General features: G+C 37.8%; 1 protein-coding gene across 2 annotated transcripts in view, besides 1 other annotated feature; it reads left to right on the top strand.

Moving 5' to 3' along the window:
• Window positions 1–18,628, top strand: part of C2CD3 (C2 domain containing 3 centriole elongation regulator) — a 158,285-nt gene that overhangs the window by 58,943 nt on the left and 80,714 nt on the right. For both annotated transcript variants that reach the window (NM_001286577.2, NM_015531.6), the window contains exons 12-18: window positions 2,908–3,026; window positions 5,567–5,689; window positions 8,435–8,929; window positions 11,384–11,535; window positions 13,805–14,051; window positions 16,652–16,832; window positions 18,061–18,244. In NM_001286577.2, the coding sequence (NP_001273506.1) occupies window positions 2,908–3,026; window positions 5,567–5,689; window positions 8,435–8,929; window positions 11,384–11,535; window positions 13,805–14,051; window positions 16,652–16,832; window positions 18,061–18,244 (1,501 nt within the window). The remainder of the gene's footprint in view (window positions 1–2,907; window positions 3,027–5,566; window positions 5,690–8,434; window positions 8,930–11,383; window positions 11,536–13,804; window positions 14,052–16,651; window positions 16,833–18,060; window positions 18,245–18,628) is intronic.
• Window positions 14,204–14,751: an enhancer, noted in NCBI's record as "NANOG hESC enhancer chr11:73808354-73808901 (GRCh37/hg19 assembly coordinates)". NCBI's record gives its function as "activates a minimal SCP1, AML or CMV promoter by ChIP-STARR-seq in naive H9 embryonic stem cells {active_cell/tissue: H9 hESC(naive)}" and the evidence as "EXISTENCE:reporter gene assay evidence [ECO:0000049][PMID:30033119]".

The following is an 18,628-nucleotide window of genomic DNA, read 5'->3' as shown; positions in this document are numbered from 1 at the left end:
GCATCCTTGCAGACAATCAAGATTGTTGCTTTTATATCCTTCCTTAAGCCATTATAGATAGATAGATAATGTGTGTGTGTATATATATATGTGTGTGTGTGTGTGTGTGTGTGTGTGTGTGTGTGTGTGTGTGTGTGTGTATCAGCAAATATGTTTACTCCAGGGGTGTCCAATCTTTTGGCTTCCATGGGCCACGTTGGAAGAAGAATTGTCTTGGGCCACACATAAAATACACTAACAGTAATGATAGCTGATGAGCTTAAAAAAAAAATCGCAAAAAAATCTTACAGTGTTTTAAGAAAGTTTACAAATTTGTGTTGGGCTGCATTCAAAGCCATCCTGGGCCACTTGTGGGTTGGACAAGCTTGGTTTATCCCTTCCCCTGCCTCCCATCCCCCATGTTTCTGCAAGTATTAATGCACCATACACAAGTTGAGTGTCCTTTCTTCAAAATGCTTAGAACCAGAAGTATTTAGGATTTCGAATTTTTTCAGATTTTGGAATATTTGCATATACATTAATAAGATATCTTGGGGATAGGACCCAAATCTAAACATGAAATTCATTTATGTTTCATATAGACCTTATATGCATAGCCTGAAGGTAATTTTATACAATATTTTTAATAATTTTGTGCTTGAAATAAAGTTTTCACTGCATTTTGACTGAGACCCATCACATGAGGTAGGGTATGGTATTTTCCACTCTGGCATCATATTGGCATTCAGAAAGTTTTGGATTTTGGAGCATTTTGGATTTTGAGTTTTGGGGTTAGGGCTGCCCAACCTGTACATGGTTCTGCACCTTGCCTTTAACATTATATCTTAGGAATTTTTGCATATCAGGACGTAAAGAGGAAAGAGGAAACTCACAGATGAGGAAAGAGGAAACTGAGACATAAATTAGTTAAGTAGCTTCTATGAGATCACACAGCTGGTTTATGGTAGAACTAGAATTTCAACCTAGCACCGTTTCGATTCCAAAATGTGCCTTAATCTGTATTGCTTCTTAAACATTATTGTTGTTGTTGGCCACAGTGATTGATCTTCTCTACATTTTTCTGAGAAGGATTATATAGGAAATGTGGAATAAGCATTGAGCAAAGAATTGCAAGACTGGGTTCTAGTTCTGATTATACCACACACTAATCATATGCCTTAGGCAAAATCACTTTCTTACCTGTGGGCCTCTCTTAACAATAATATGGATTAGACTAGGTATTAATCTGGATCCCTTTCAACTCTTGAAAAAAATCTTCTCTGGGACACTGTTAGCAAGTTATTTACCTGAATTTCTTCTTCACTTACTGCCTTAACTCACTTTTCAGTGGTAAAAAATAATGAGCCTAAGAAACAGAATTATATAAGAAATATAGTAACAGTGCAAGAACATACCCAAGTAGTAAGGAGAAATTGAAATAGGATTGTTTGTACATAAAGAATTTTACAGTGTTCAAAGTGCTTTTTCCTTTATTACCTCAGTTCATCCTCCCAGCACACCAATGAGGTGCAGGTGTTATCTTACTTCCCTTTCCCAGGTAGAGTAACCAGATAAACTGATCTAGTGGATGTGGGCTTCCTGGCCCCAGACCTTTTGTTCATAGTTCCTGTGCATTGATCCACATAGCAAGGTCCAGATCCTGTCCAACAGTGCCAAGAAAAGTATAGAGTCGCCAGTTAATATGGCCAGAGATGAATAGAGAGATCAGTAGGTTAAAATGGGTCATTTGAATGAATGCTAGAAATAGCAGATTCTCTTCATACATAACTGGGCCTCTTGTGAAGATTCTTCAGATTCATGATCCATTTTAACAGCCTTAGCAGTGAATGGACAGGAAGATCATTTTATAGGTGATAAATTGTTTCTGCGGTGGTAAGTAATAGTAAGTATTAGAACTGGAGCTTAAACTTATATCCTTTGATTCTGGTCTCAAATTCTTTTTATTTTATTTTATTTTATTTATTTATTTATTTATTTTTGAGACAGAGTCTCACTCTGTTGCCTAGGCTGGAGTGCAGTGGTGTGCTCTAGGCTCACTGCAAGCTCTGCTTCCCCGGTTCACGCCACTCTCCTGCCTTAGCCTCCCAAGTAGCTGGGACTACAGGCGTCTGCCACTGCGCCCAGCTAATTTTTTTTTGTTGTTGTATTTTTAGTAGAGACGGGGTTTCACCATGTTAGCCAGGATGGTCTTGATCTCCTGACCTCGTGATCTGCCCATCTCGGCCTCCCAAAGTGCTGGGATTACAGGCGTGAGCCACCGCACCCGGCCTCAAATTCTTTTTATTTACCAGTTAAAACTCCATGGCCATGAGCACAAACTCAAATACCACCATCACTTTATCCACTTACACTTATAGTTATAGCAGAAACCCCTTCCTTTCCACCCAAGAGATAGACTCCTTTGCCTGACACTACTAGCTAACATCAGTACCTGATAACTTGTTTGTGACAGTAAGAGTGTCCAGAAGGTAGGCTTATTTTTGTATTATAGTTTTTTATTCCATTCTTCTATTTATCCCTCATTGTTCCACCTCCAACCAGCCCCCTTCTTTTAGTATACTACCTACAAACTAGTCTTTTAAAAACAGTGCTATTACCTAAAACCCAGTGAAGTATATAGATATGTCTCCTTACACATCCAGTACTCATATGATTGACATTCATTTCTCATGGCAAAGCGGAGCAACATAGCACTGCCTGTCTTCTGTGTACTATCTCCAGAGTTTTCTCTTTGTCCCTGCTCATTCAATCCTACAACCCTAGCACTTTCTGTGAAAGCACACTGACTCGATTTCTGCAGGAGATTTTAATTAAATTTGAAAGGGAGGCAGGTGGTATCAAGGCATGAATTGATGATGACTTCAGTTGGGTGGTGTGACATGTCTGTGTGTCTGGTTCTCCTTACAGAGGTGAAGTTCCAGCAGCGATTTGTGTTTCCAGTACAGTTTGGTGGCCCAATGATAGAGCACTGGTGGAATTCCAACCTCACTTTCCAAATTTATGTAAAGAAAACTCCACAGAAAAAGGTACTTTGAGTGATTTTGGCCTTTGCCTTACCTTCACACTAGGGATTTGGAGGATACCTAAAATTATATTCTTACCTAAACTAGGAATCTTCAGGTGCAGGCAGTACTAATAATCCATTGTTATTATTATTATTATTATTATTATCATTATTATTATTACTACTACTAATCTCTGCTGTTTGTCATGGGCCAGATATAATACTAAAGGCTCTACACGAGCACACTATCAATTTTAATCACCACAACTCTGTGAATTAGGTACATTATTATATTTGTTTTACAGATGAAGAAACTGAGATTTAGTTAACATGTCTAAGATCACTCAATCTAATGAAAGAGCCAGGACACCATCCCAAATCTGCTGTCTTTAGATCTCAAGTTCTTAACCTCTTTATTGTGCTGTTCCCTTCTAAAGAAAGGTAGCTATATTGATACAGGCTATTAGCCTTAATTTGAGGTTCTACTTCCTGTTTGCAGGCAGAATACATAAGGTATCCAAGCCCAAAATAATATAGTTGTGAGTAGCAGTTTTGATCAACTAATTCCAAGTTTATAAAATTGCTTGCAGCTGGCATAATGTAAATCAATAAACTATAACAAGCAGTTTTTACTTCCTTCAATAAAAGAGTAGTCTTTATAATCTTTTGACCTCTTATTTGGTATGGATAGCATGAAGAACATCTTGTTTTCTTTTATTTTTTTCAGAAGACATATACAATACAGGTCCTTTTTGAAAAATTATAGCAAAATAGGAATGGTGGGAAAGGCACATCATTTCATAACCTCAAGATAAACTCTATTAACATTTCAATGTATTTACATTGAATCATTTTCCTATACCTAATTAATGGCATTTTTTTTCTTTTCTTTTTTTTTTTTTTTTGACACAGAGTCTCGCTTTGTCGCCCAGGCTGGAGTGTAGTGGCGCGATCTCAGCTCACTGCAAGCTCTGCCTCCCGGGTTCACGCCATTCTCCTGCCTCAGCCTCCCGAGTAGCTGGGATTACAGGCTCCCACCACCACACCTGGCTAATTTTTTTGTATTTTGAGTAGAGACGGGGTTTCACCATGTTAGCCAGGATGGTCTCGATCTCCTGACCTTGTGATCTGCCCACCTCGGCCTCCCAAAGTGCTGGGATTACAGGCGTGAGCCACCATGCCCGGCCGGCATTTTTTTTCTAATTATAAAAGAGTTTTACGTATTTTTGTAGAAAACTTGAAAAATAATTTTTAAAAGGCAAAAATTGCCTGTAATTCTGTCACCAAGAAATAACTATTGTTAACATTTATGACTATCTGCATTGTCTTTTTCCAATGAATACAGTATGTTGTATAATTTTGTATGTAGGTTTTATTCTTCCTTTTTATCATTTAGCATCTTGAGGGTTTTTATTCATTTTTCTTCAAAAATATCTATTTAATGTTTTTCACATAATTTTGTATTTGAAGGTTTATGATATATATGAGTTAATACCCTTTTATCAAACATTATAACAGTTAATATTATTAGAAACTTTTAGTAAATGTCATTTTAATGGCTACATGTTATGCCATCATATGGATGTGCTATATAATTAGCTTAATAATTCCTGATTATTGGACAACTAGGTATATCTCATTGTTAACTACTTTTAACATATACATATTTGTGTATAAGCTTTTTATGCATTGTTTCTTATTTCTGTGTGTGTGTGTGTGTGTGTGTGTGTGTGACACAGTTTCATTCTTGTTGCCCAGGCTGGAGTGCAATGGCATGGTCTCAGCTTACTGCAACCTCAGCCTCCTGGGTTCGAGCGATTCTCCTGCCTCAGCCTCCTGAGTAGCTGGGATTACAGGCACCCGCCACCATGCCCAGCTAATTTTTTTGTATTTTTAGTAGAGACGGGGGTTTCACCATGTTGGCCAGGCTGGTCTTGAACTCCTGACCTGAGGTGATCTGCCTGCCTCAGCCTCCCAAAGTGCTGGGATTACAGGCATGGGCCACCGCGCCCAGCCTATTTATTATTTCTTTAGTACAAATTCCCAGAAATGGAATTACTGGGCCAAAGAGCATAAATATTTAAAGCTTTTAATATCTGTTACCAAATTTGCCATCCAAAAGCATATTGCCAGTTTATATTTCCAGCTTTACGCATATGACAGCCTCTTGTTTCTCCATAGCCTTGATAGCATTAGATATATTAAATTTTACAATTTCCCTAGTTTTAATAGCAAAAATTTGTGACATCTAAATTTTATTTTTTATTTTTAATAGTGAAGTTGAACATTTTGAGTAAGAATTAACTCTTAGTGATAGAAAAAGATAATCTTCCCACCACTTTGTGGCTTATAAAACCCTCTGTAATCTTATAGAGGGAAGTAGCAAAAGCCAGAAGAGAGACCAAAATATGACAAAGTGGGATCTCAGAGTTGTCTTAGATAATTAAGCTTTTTTCTTCCTGAATGGTTTCCTTTATAAGCCATCATATGTTGTCACTTTAATTAAGATCACCTGTGGCTTCTCTTTAATTAATCTAAATGTTCTCTTTCCTTCTTTCTCAGCCAGAAGTCATTGGATCTGTGTCACTTTCTTTGCGAGCTGTCATTCAATCAGAGCTGCTTTCTTTCAGTGATCAGCTTCCAGTGCAACAAGAAAATGGTCAGTCTCCATTTGGCCCCCTCAAGGTATGTAGATATACATTCAGGAAGTCAGAAGTATTTGCTGAGTATGCATTATTGGCTGGCACTGAGGATATAGCAGTGAACAAGAAAAGCAAGGTCTTTGATCTTGTGTAGCATCTCTTGAAATAGAGCAGTGGAAGTACTATGAAGGAAATAAATGGTATGATGTGATAGTGAGTACCTGTGAGAAAGTAGGAGATGGTGATCAGGGAGGATCTTTCTATGGAGGTGAAATAGAAGGTGAGATTTGAAGAATAAGAGGAGTAAGTAAAAAACACAGAGACCATTCCAGAGAGAATAACAGGTGCAACAGCCCTAAAGCAGGAGTGGGCTTGGAGTCATCAAGGGATAGAAAGTTGCCAGAGGATAGTGAGCAAGAGAGAGAGTGGTAGAAAGTAGGGTTGAACAGTCAGGTAGAAGCCATATCATCAGAGCTTTGTAGGTAAAGGTAAAGAGTTTAGATTTTAGCCTAAGATCCAAGGAAAGAATGTTGAAGCATGGGACTGACATCATCTGATTTCCATTTTACAAGATTACTGTGTGGAGAATAGACGGCAAGAGGAAAGAGGGAAATGGGCTGTGGCATTAGTCCAGAAAAGAGATGATTGATGGTGGCTTAGACTAGAGTAATTGAAATAAAGAAGGAGAGCAGTAACTAAGTGTGCCTGGTAGAATGAATTCTGGTATATAATTCATTGGAGAGAGGGTTATTTCCTTGTATTCAGGTGAGTTAGGATTTCTTAGATGACAGAATCTGAGCGTGTGGCTTCAGTATAGCTTTGTCCTGGTGAGTTTTAAAAATCAGCCGGGTGCAGTGGCTCAAGCCTGTAATCCCAGCACTTTGGGAAGCCAAGGCGGGCAGATTGCCGGAGCTCAGGAGTTCTAGACCAGCCTGGGCAACATGGCTAAACCACATGTCTACTAAAAATACAAAAATTAGCCAGGAGTGGTGGCACACGCCTGTAATCCCAGCTACTCGGGAGGCTGAGACACAAAAATCGTTTGAACCCAGGAGGCAGAGGTTGCAATGAGCCAAGGTTGCACCATTGCACTCCAGCCTGGGCGACAGAGCAAGACTCTGTCTCAAAAGAAAAAAAAAAATCATCACAGCCATGCCTAAAACATCCTGATGGCTCCCAATCACCCAAAGGATAAAGTACAAGGCTTAATATATGACCCTGGCCTACCATTTCAACCTTCTCTCTTACAGCTTCTCTACCAATAACTATGTCACTCTACGTAAAGAGTCAGTAAGGTATCATGCTGGTTCATGCCTCTGTGTTTTTGTTATTGATTATCATACTGCCTTTTCTTCTTGAAAGCCTTGTCTCTCTTCTTGGTCTTAGTAAATACCACTTTGCTTTAAAGACTTACACAATTATTATTGCAAAAAATTAACATCACCTACTCTTGCTATCCAAGTTATAGTTTTTGTCTGCCTGGTTCATTCTGAACTACAAAGTTTAAAATCAGAAAGGGGTTATAAATAGGATTGATCAACTAGAAATTTTTTCTGTTCTGGCTCTTTTGAGAGAAATACTATTCTGGATAGATTGCTGTCTATATTCAACAGAGTAAAAGAACCTTGCTATGTAACACTTAGGATTTCAGATCGAAGAAACAGCAAGAACCTTTTACCCCTAGTAATTGAGTCTCCTAACAGTTAGTGACCACTTCTGTTCTTTAAATTCATCATTTATCCTGCTTCCCTTTTCTTTTTTACTTTTTAATTATTTAGACTTTTTTATACCCTTTACTGAGACTCCCCAATTCTTACTATTTGTCACATTTTCTTTATAATTGTCTGTCTGCCTCTTCTCTGCCTCTCTCTCTCTGTCCCTTTATCTCCTCCCCCCATACATGTACATACACATTTTTTTGTGAACTATTTGAGAGTAAGTTGTACATCATGCCTCTTTCCCCCTAAATTCTTTAGTTTATATTTTATGTATTTCCTTAGAACAAGGACATCATCATGCATAATACTCTAGAGTTACAAAAGTCAGCATAGCATTGATACTATATCTGCAGGCTATACTGAGATTTCACCAATTATACCAGTGCCTTTATAGCAAATATTTTTTTCTAGTCCAGGATTATCTATTGCATTTTGTCAGATCTTCCTAATCTCCTTTAGTCAGGAACAGTTCTGCAGCCTTTCTTTATTTTTCAATATGCTGATATTTTTAAGTAATGCCAGTTATTTTAAAGAATGTTCCTCCACTGGGGTTAACCTGAATCACTTATTACTGTGATGATTGTCAAATGGTGATTTCTAACTCTACCGTCTCTTTTGCATTTATTAATTGGCATTCTATATAGAGAAGCTGTTTCTTCTCTCATATTTATTTTATATCAGGATGGATTCATGGATTCTTATTCAATAGTTTATAATCCATTACTGTTATTCATTCTGATGCTTAAGTTGTCCTAGATTTAGCCAGTGGGAGCCTCTTCAGCTGGATTCTGGGTCCTTTAAACATGGCTCCATTCTTTTCTGGGAACTATCTTATATTCTGGCATAACTTGATCTTCCAGGCTCATCTTTTGTTATTGATAAATCATCTGTCTAGTTTTTCTTAGTCTAGCAAGTTAATGTATATGCATTCTGTTAATATTCTTACTATTAGAGTGTTTGAGGATGAGTTAATTCATTTCCTAATAATCTGATGTTGTTTCCAGCCTCAAAATTCTAATTCCAATTCTAAAGGACATTCTTATTGACTCTTCTCCTTTTGTGTTTTACAGGTAACCATGGAGCTTATTACAGATAACAAAGATTTCACTGGTATCAATACTAAGTTAAGTGGCAACACCCATTATACCCCACTTTGTGCTCCTACAAGTCCAAATAAGGCACTACCAGAACTTAACCAAGATATGACCTGTACCAAAAATCCACAAAACTTAAACCAAATTCATGAGGAAACTGCAAAGAAAGCACAGAACTTGGTGCTCCCCAACCGAAAGTCACCAAGCCCTGTAGCACCACATCCTTCAACCTTCGTAGCTACGCCAGCCTCCCATAATTTAGTCAATCAGACAAATGGGACAACAAAAGAGAGTGCTTTGCTGTTGCATGTGCTGTTGATGGTGCCAGATGGGAAAGATTTTATTAGTGGAGAATCTGAGAAACAATCACCATGCAATGTTTATTTAAATTGTAAACTCTTCAGCACAGAGGAAGTCACCAGATCTGTCATCGCATGGGGCACAACACAACCGGTCTTTAACTTTTCTCAGGTAACTTTGTACATTCCATATCCATTAGAGGAATATAGGGGTGAGAGACAAATGCCTCCCAAATTATTATTTCGTCTTAAATCTAGAATGTTCAGACTAGAAGGAACCTTCGTAATTATCTGGTGTACAGATTCAGTCCCACTATTGGATGGGAAGAGGGAAAGGCATTGTCAACATTTTAAAACTGTTTGTCTTTATTTCTATTCTGTCTGAGTTCACATGGTTTCTCACTGTTTCTTTTGCCTGAGTTTTGGGATTCTATTCCTTTCTGCTTCCTCTAAGACTTTGATTAGTTAAACCTCCCCATCTTTCTCCAATCTCTCCTTCTTTATTACTTTATTTTATATATTTCTCCTCACATTTATTCTTCTGCCTACTTCAGTATTCATCTTAACTTGATTTTTCTGTGTAATGTGGTGCTTAAATTGTTTTCTTTCTTGGTTTTTGTAACTTTACTGTCTTAATTTCTTCCTCACTCAAAGCTGTTCTTTTTCAGTCATTGGGCCAGAAGGAAAACTAGGAAAAGGGTGGTAACCCCAGTACTTCTTCCTTTAACTGTTGGTGCTTCCACTCTTACTCTATTGCTGGCACTCTTCCAAATCAACCCACTTCTCCCCATGGTCATCACATCTATCAACACAGCTTCAGCACTCATTTTTATGAAGATAACTTCCATGTCTACATTTCTATATAAGCCAGACATTTCCTTTTAGTTTGAGATTTCTGTATCTAACTGCCTGCTGGTCATTATCACCTGGATATCTCAGAAGCAGTTTACACTTGGCACCTAACACATTGCCTGGCACATACTGGGTATTCAATAAAGATGTGTAAATGAAAGAATGAATTCAAACATGTTCAAATCTGAATTTATCACTTCTTCCAAATCTGTTCTTCCTCTTTTTGTCTGCCCTAATTCAAATTATAATTTACTCAGGCACCTAAGTAGAACCTGTTATTTGTCCTTGACTCTTTCTTATGTAATTACTTACCAAGTCTAATAGATACTACTAACTTAATTATCTGGAAGACATCCCTTTACCTTCACTGCACTGCCACTGCTTCCATTCAAACCTTCACCCTCCTTCCAAATAGCCTTCAGACTGGTATAGCTGTTTCCCAGCTCTCTTTATGTCCATTGCCTCCTTTATGCACCAATGAGAATGACCTTTCTAAAACACTAACCTGAACATTTTACTTTCCTGCTTAAAGCCTTTCCGTGATTCCCTATATCCTTCAAGATGGAATGTAAATCCTTGGCATCCAAGACCCTTTGAAAACTGACTGTATGTACTTCTCCAGCCTCAGCTCCTGCCACTCTTCCCCTTATACTAGATAGCCCAGCTGTGCTCAGCTACTTAGACTTTCCTGAATATTCTCTTCTCCTACTTCTGTATCTTCATATGTGCTCTTTCTTCTGCCTTGAATTTCCTTTAAGCCTTCTTGACACCACTTAAGCAGAGCTTTTTGTATCAGTTAACTCCTGCTCAGCCTTGAGATTTAAGGTTACTTTGTCCCAGAAGTAGTTGCCTGCAACTTCCTTATTTGGAGGTTAGGTTGCTGTTCTAGTTTTACTTTTTTTGGTTTCAAGGAACAGAAATGTGTTCAGGATATAAACACTAGGTTTGTATCCACCTTGTGTTTCTTAGGTGGATACAAAAGTAGCTCTGCTCTGTTTTCTGGTGTCTTCCTCTCATCATCCCTTTTCTAATTTCACACTTTTTGCCTCTCATGTTTTCTATTGGTTTCAACATTGGGGCTTATTGACCTTCTACTGTTACAGTTGTCCCTACAGCTTGGGTTTCTTCAAATTGGTGGGCCCTTGATTCTACCACTAATTTGACAAAGGTGCTTTTGGCTTAGATCTCTGATTCTCTTTGTGACCTGTCTTTTTCAACTATCAACTGGCCAATTCTGGAGTAATTTTATGTTGAAAATCCAGAGGAGCAGTTGGCTTTGCTCTTTACTGTGACACCTGTTGGGCAGAGCTTTTGGCACTTGGCCATTTTATTAAATGCTATCCAGCCAGTGAATTGGCTGCCCTTTGATAAAATACTCAACTCTTGTCAAGTCAGTAGCATACTTGTTTCAAAAACATCTTTCTTTCAGTGGGGTTTACTAGTGGATCACTTTGCCTTAGAAAGGGTTGGACGAGTTTGGCAGGCACCATGTTTGACATATTTAACAACCTTCTCTGTGTCCTCAAAGCTCCACCTGTATGAGCTTTGTCATCAGAGAACTCACTGTTTTGTATCTGGCCTTTATGTGTTAGTCTCTAACAGCAGACTGCTACTTCTCTTGAGGATACAGAGTAAGTTTTATTTGAATGTCTTTAGCTCATAACACTGTGTGTTAACAATAGGCTTTCTGTAAATGCTTATTGAATGAAAGTATAAATTAATATTTGTCTCAGGTATGAGTTTTTTGTTTGTTTTGGTTGTTCCTCTCTCTTAGGTGATTCCTGTCTCTCTGTCTTCCAAATACCTGGAAAGGCTTAAGAACAATGTGATGGTAATTGAAACTTGGAATAAGGTGCGGAGCCCAGGACAGGACAAGCTGCTCGGGCTGGTGAAACTTCCCCTCCACCAGTTTTACATGTCATTCAAGTAAATAGGACCTTTTGGAGTATTCTTTATTGTGCATCTTTAACTTTGCATGGACTGAAAAGGAATTCTTTTGATTTGCAAACATGAATAGCCCAGTAATCCCTTGAAGGACTTTTTCCAGTTTCAACAGAGTTGCTGCTCTTTCTCCTATTCTAAAGCAGTCTTAGAGATATTGCTTACCATGTTTCAGGCACTATGCTAAAAACCTTGCAACATCAAGTCATTTAATCTTCTTGACAAACCCTCTGAGGCAGGTACTTCTATTTGCTTTTTTGTACAGATGAGTTAACAGAGATTCAGAGAAGTTAAATTACTTGTCACATACATTATAAAGTGAAGGGTTAGGACCCAAGATAGCATGGCTCTGGAGTCCACACTTCACCAAAAAACTCTATTGTCAAAAGTTACCACCTCTCAAAAGGTGGTTTACCATTCTGTCACGGAACTTCAGTATTGTTCACATCAACTATTTGCAAGTTTTATATAGTGAATATTATCTTTTAGACCTTCAGATTTGATTGCTCCACCTCACTTTTAACACGTAGGTGGGGTATTGATTAACCTGAAGGTTATTTCATTCCTCAATACAAACTGTTTCTTTTTTGTTGTTTTTCTTTTTTTTTTTTTTTGAGACGGAGTCTCACTCTGTTGCCCAGGCTGGAGTGCAGTGGCACGATCTCGGCTCACTGCAAGCTCCATCTCCTGGGTTCACGCCATTCTTCTGCCTCAGTCTCCCAAGTAGCTGGGACTACAGGCACCTGCCACCACACCTGGCTAATTTTTTGTATTTTTAGTAGAGACGGGGTTTCACCGTCTTAACCAGGACAGTCTCGATCTCCTGACCTCATGATCCGCCCGCCTCAGCCTCCCAAAGTTATGGTGTTACAGGCATGAGCCACCGCGCCCAGCCTAAACTGTTCCTTTTTAATTTTGACTCAAGATTCTGATTTTTAATTATTTTAGCACTGACCTCTTTCCTAGCAGCCTTCTCATAGTTCTGTGTTTTAAATGTTGTGTTTTACATTTTACAAAGAGCACCTTTGTGGGCATTAGCTCATTTGAACCTTACTATAACCCTATAAAGTATTGTTATTATCCCTATATTACAGATGAAGAAATTTGTCCTTTAACTTGCAGAAGTCACTTAACCTCTCTGACTTTCTTTTCCTCATCTGTAAAATGAGGGTGATAGTAGATTACCTATCTCTCTTGTGGAACAATCGTGAAGATCTAGAGAGAAAATACATGGATATGCCTTCTGTGAACAGCTGAGTATTAATACTTACAACAGTAACATTGGAAATCATGGCCAGGCTGGGTAGTCCTGCTGGAATCGTGGATGCCACTGTCTGCTGTAGGCTGTTAGTTTTCCTTTTTTTCTTAAATTATGATGTTAGTTTGGTCTAGTGTTACCCTTCTTCCACTTCACTTCTCATTCCATTAGATCTCATTCTTTGCTCAGAGTGTGTAAAATAATAGTAACTACCAGTTACTGGGCATCTTCCATGTACCAAGCATCATAGTTGGTATTTTGTATGTTATCTCAGTTTAGTCCTAACAACCACTCTTTGATGGAAGTTTTTTCATTGCGTACGTTTTAAAAATGACAAAACAGACTCAAAAATGTTAAATGAATTGCTTGAGTCACACAGCAAATAAGTGGCAGAGCTAAGATTCAGCATGGCATTATAAATCATTTATCAGAGCTTGAATCCCAACTTAACCTCCTACTAGTTGTGTATCCTTAGCTAAGTTACTTAACCTCTTTAAATTTGGCTTTTCTCATCCATTAATAGTGGATAATACCAACCTTTGCAGCGTTAAAAGGATTAGAAATACTATAAAATGCCTAGCACATACTAAGCACTTAGTAGATGGCAGATATTGGCAATATTTTCCAAATCTTATCTGTCAGACACCAAAGTCCACATTCTTCCTAGTAGACCACACTTCCTCCCTTTAAAATAATGCAGTTTAGCAAAGCTCCATGAGATACTGTTCAAATCACAGACACTGGACTTGGGTCCATAATGCTACAGAGACATATCAGACACATTCCTTGCCTTCAAATTGCTACATTTTGAACTTCTCTGCCTGGTAATTTTTATTTGGTAGGTTACTGACAGATGCACACATTTTTTAAAACCACTATTACTTTTCCAGTTGCAAATCTATTTTTAACAAACTGAAAAAATGAGTCAAGAAAGAAATAACTCTATGACATGATTGATGCTTGTTATTTGCTTATTCACAATTTCTCCCCCTCTAGAGATGCTAAGATTTCTCGCCTGCTGCTGGATGCCCAGTACCCAGTTGTTGCTGTCGACAGCTACATGCCTGTGATTGATGTGTTTTCAGGCCACCAAAATGGGAGTCTTCGAGTCTTTTTAGCTATGGGTTCTTCAAATCAAATAATGGCACTACAAAGATTAAAGAATGAAGAAGGAACACTCCCTCCCTTCAGCCCTAGGCCAGCCCATTTCCTGGACCAGCCAACTGCAGCATCTGTTGCTATGGTAATAAACGCTATGGTTTACAAAAAGTCATTATTTCATTTTCTCTTGCATATTTTAGTGAATTTATTGCCCAAATCCTTTATTTCTGTAATGAAAGGCTCAACAAAAGAACATAATGTGCACTCCAGTGCTTCCTATAAATCAAAGGAATCATTGGTAATTTTCTGTTATGATTTAAATGGATCTCTATGTCCCTCTTAGCTCCCTGAATTTATAAAGAAAATCCAATCGAACAACCAAATCTTAATTATCTAATTTACTGGCTTAATTGCCTTTAAAAAAGATTGGGAGTGGAGAGTGATCCCAAATGTAAGCCAGCAAAATCTTACTCTGCTTATTGGCTGAGCCCATGCTGGAAAGTCATTGTGAAGTGCTTGCTTATCTACTAGTAATTTAAAAGTAATTTGTTTTTGTATGGTGCTGTCCAGTTGAGAAAGCACATTGACATACATTCTCATGTTTATTTCCCTAACAACTACCTGAGGTGGGTTATTGTTATTCTGTTTTATAGATAATGAGACAGAATCAAAGAGGTTAGGTTACTTGTCCGGGGTCACATAACTAGGAATGAGAGAATTGGGATTCAGACACAGGTCTTCTAACTTCAAGTTCAGTCTTTATTCCACTGTATCATGTACTACTGTATCTTCTATTTGTTGTCTTTACTAGTACAGCCAAATCTCAGTATCCATACCATTTAAGTATGTTATATTCTTAAGTCTGAACCCAAATGACAAATTTAAATGTCTCTAGCAGGGAAAGAACTATTAGGAAAATAACTTTTAGCAAGTTATGGTTTATTTGTATATTATGAACTCCACATTTTTCTTAGTTATTTGTTAGATTTTTTTTTTTTTTTCGAGGTGAGGTCTTGCTCTGTTGCCCAGGCTGGAGTGCAATGGTGCCATCTCAGCTCACTACAACCTCCACCAACTGGGTTCAAGGGATTCTCCTGCCTTGGCCTCCCGGGTAGCTGGGATTACAGGCACCCACCACTGGGCCTGGTAACTTACATATTTTTAGTAGAGATGGGATTTCACCATATTGCCCAGGCCAGGCTGGTCTCGAACTCCTAACCTCAAGTGATCCACCCACCTCCACCTCCTAGAGTGCTGGGATTACAAGCATGAACCACCACACCTGGCCAGTTATTTCTTAGATATTATTGTTTGTCAATAGATAATCGTATTTTTCAAGTTGAAAATTACATAAAAGCACAAATAAAGAAAAGCCACATTAATATCCCCAAGTCTGTTTAGGCGTTGTATGGCTGTCATCTTGCAGTGTAGACTCAGATTTTGTTAAATTCCATAGTAAAGGTTAGAAAATGTTTCTCACTACATGCACAGAGGAAATCCTTGAAAGATTTACCTGTGGGATTAGATATCTATAAAAACAATTGTTTTTCCTCCTCTACTCATGCCTCTCATCCAATTCACCATTTGCAGAACTGAATATCAAATTGCTGTGATACTATAAGGCCAAATTAAGTAGCTGTTGTGACTCTGAGAGATTTTTTTTTTCAATTTTTTTTGCCCGAGGGAATCAAATTGCAAGTTTCCTGTTTTTCTAAGGAAAATTTTTGAGCAGGTATTGCTAAAATATGCTTTCAGATTTCAAAGCAGAGACCTAATACAGTCTCTGTTCTAGATTTTTTGGATTAGTAGTTAAAATGTTAAACACATGTATATCATATAGTCTCAACTCTTTTCTGAATGCTGAATTCCCCCTTTGAATTTTCCTGAATAATTCATTCTCTAAGATCTGCTGTATAGAATAGGGATAAAGAACACTGACTCTGGAGTCAGACTACGTTGAGTCTAAACCTGGTTCCACTGTTACTAGCTCTGCATGTTAAATCACTTAATGAAGGTGAGCTGTTTGGTATAGTGCCTGGTTCATAGTAAATCCTCAATAAATACACGATTATTTGTTGTTATTACCTTTAGTAACAGTGTCTTCACTACCTCCCAAAGTAGTCCTTACCATTATTGGACAGTCCTGGTGTTATACCCAACTGATTTGAAATAGTAATTAGTACCTGTTTGCTATTCTGAATGGCCAGACTGAGGAGTCCTGCTGGAATCGTGGATGCCACTGTCTGCTGTAGGCTATTAGTTTTCCTTTTTTTCTTAAATTATGATATTAGTTTGGTCTGGTGTTACCCTTCTTCCACTTCACTTCTCATTCCTTTGCTGTTCTAAATGTAGAATTTATTCTAAATTTACGATTTATTATTTTTCCTATGAAGGGAACAGCCTTCTATTCTTAGTATATTAAGAGCTTTTATCAGGAACAAATGTTGAATTTTATCAAATGCCTTTTCAGCATTTGTGTTAATCATTTTTATTGTTCCATTAATGCACTGAATTACATTTATGGATTTCCTAATATTAACCCAGTCTCATAGTCAAGAGTACATCCTGTTTAGCCTACTTACAGTGAGTAGTTGTGAGAGTTACAATGAAAATTAAGTGTCTATTTTAGTATCAACTAATTATACTTATCTCTTTATCTATACTCAGACTTCATAGAGAAGCAGAAATATTCTAAGCAAGTTACTCTTTAAAGCTCACCAGTGTTTCTGTTTCATTTAATAGGCAGAGGACCGAGGAAATGGACTGATGGAGCACTGCTTTGAGATCCATATAGAGATGGTTAAAGGGCTAGCCCCTCTTCAGGCAACAGTCTGGGGAGAAGCAGATTGTTATGTCCAGTACTACTTTCCAGTTCAACACTCTCAATCCAGTGTGCTGAAAGGACCTGAGTTCCTTGAAAATGGTAGGTTTAGATATTAGGCTTTCTTATTCTTATATGGTTCTTTTATTAGATTATACTTAAGAGTTTTTTTTTTCTGAGTGAATTTTGTGTTGTTGAATATTTCTAGTCTTACTGGGCAGTAAAACAGGAGATAGGCCAAGTTTTTTTTATTTTTTAACTATTTTTGTAGCTTTTTATTTTGATACAATTTCAAATTTACAAAAACCTGTAAAAATAGTACAAAGAACTTTGGTATACTCTTTACCTAGTTCTACCAATTATTTGCATTTGCCCTATTTTATATCCTTTACATGCCCACTCTTATCTATACACATAGTATAAGTTGATTCTTATTCCTCGCAGTAGTTCTGTTCTGTAAAGCCACCATGAACGCTGAATTAAGGAATACTGAACCACTGTTCCTAAGGGAAATATGTACATATACATATCTCACATAGATCATTATCTTAACTCCTAAAACAACTTACCCTGGTAGACTCTGTTTTCTTTATTTTATGAAAGAAAAAATGAGATTCACAAGCATTAAGTGACTTGCTTGGGGCTGCCCCACTAACAAGTGCCAAGGTTGGGATTCAAACCCCATCCTACTGTACCCAGATTGGAAGCTTCTCACTGCCTCCTACTGTCTCCATCTTCTGGTAGTCTCGGAGAGCTGAAACAAGAAGTCAAACTCGCTCACCTTTTTCTCACCTGGGAACAAACAGACCAGGTGACTCGAACTTTTTGCCATTCGGTGTATGTTCCAGAATGATTGCCAGAGTGCTGCCAGTGTTGATTTTGAGGTTCAAATAAGAGATTTGTATATACAGAATATATAAAGAACTCTTACAAATCAATCATTTCTTAAAAACCAATTAAAAAGTGGGCAAAGGATCTGAATAGACATTTCTCCAAAGATATACAAATGGCTAATAAGCACATGGAAAAATACTGAGCATCATTACTTATTTGGGAAATGCAAATCAAAACTACCAAGATACCATTTCATACTAGCTAAGGTGGCTATAATTAAAAAAAAAAAAAAAAAACCTAACAAGTGTTGGCACTTGTATGGCAATATATGAATTGTCCACCAGCAAGGTATCTTTTTCTTCTGTATTATCATGGGACCTTAGGGAACCATAACTACTAGGGAATTACTAAGTAATATTCACTGGAAGAACATGAAAGAAGAAGAAAACACTAAGTCATATGTTGGATTATTCTGAAATGCTTTTCTTTTCCAAAGGAATTACTCTGAAGCCCTTCAGAACTGCAACCACACTCTGTGTTCCAGATCCCATCTTTAATAGTGAACACCATCACTCTCTCCTGTTGCCAGCTGAGGTTCCAGTGCAAAGGCTCCTACTAAGTGCTTTCTCTGCACAGGGCCTCGTGCCTGGAGGTGGAGTCCAGTTTGAAATCTGGTGCAGGTACAGTGTGGAGACCCCAGTCCTATGCCTAGGAAGGAAGTGCACAATCATAAAGCATCCTACTCCTAACCAGCCTAGGTTGAATTATTGTAAGGAAGCTAAGCAGCCTCTTCAGCCCTGTTTTATGTTATTTGGATTTGACAGTGACTCTTGTCCAGTTTTTACTGAAGTCTGTTATTAGGATCTTATGACCCATTGTATCTCATATTTCTAATCACTACTTACATTGAAAGTGAAAGTTTTATTTATTTTACCTCCTATTATGTATTAAACATATCAATCACCTTTTTTGTGCGTCCCTTACTGCCTTATTTAGTTCAGGCCCTTTTCATATCTTGCCTAAATGACTGTGGTAGCCTCCTAACTGGCCTCCTACTTATAAAC

Source organism: Homo sapiens, chromosome 11 (assembly GCF_000001405.40).
Source record: "Homo sapiens chromosome 11, GRCh38.p14 Primary Assembly".
Classification (NCBI taxonomy): domain Eukaryota; kingdom Metazoa; phylum Chordata; class Mammalia; order Primates; family Hominidae; genus Homo; species Homo sapiens.
This window is presented reverse-complemented; position numbering and strand designations above follow the sequence as displayed.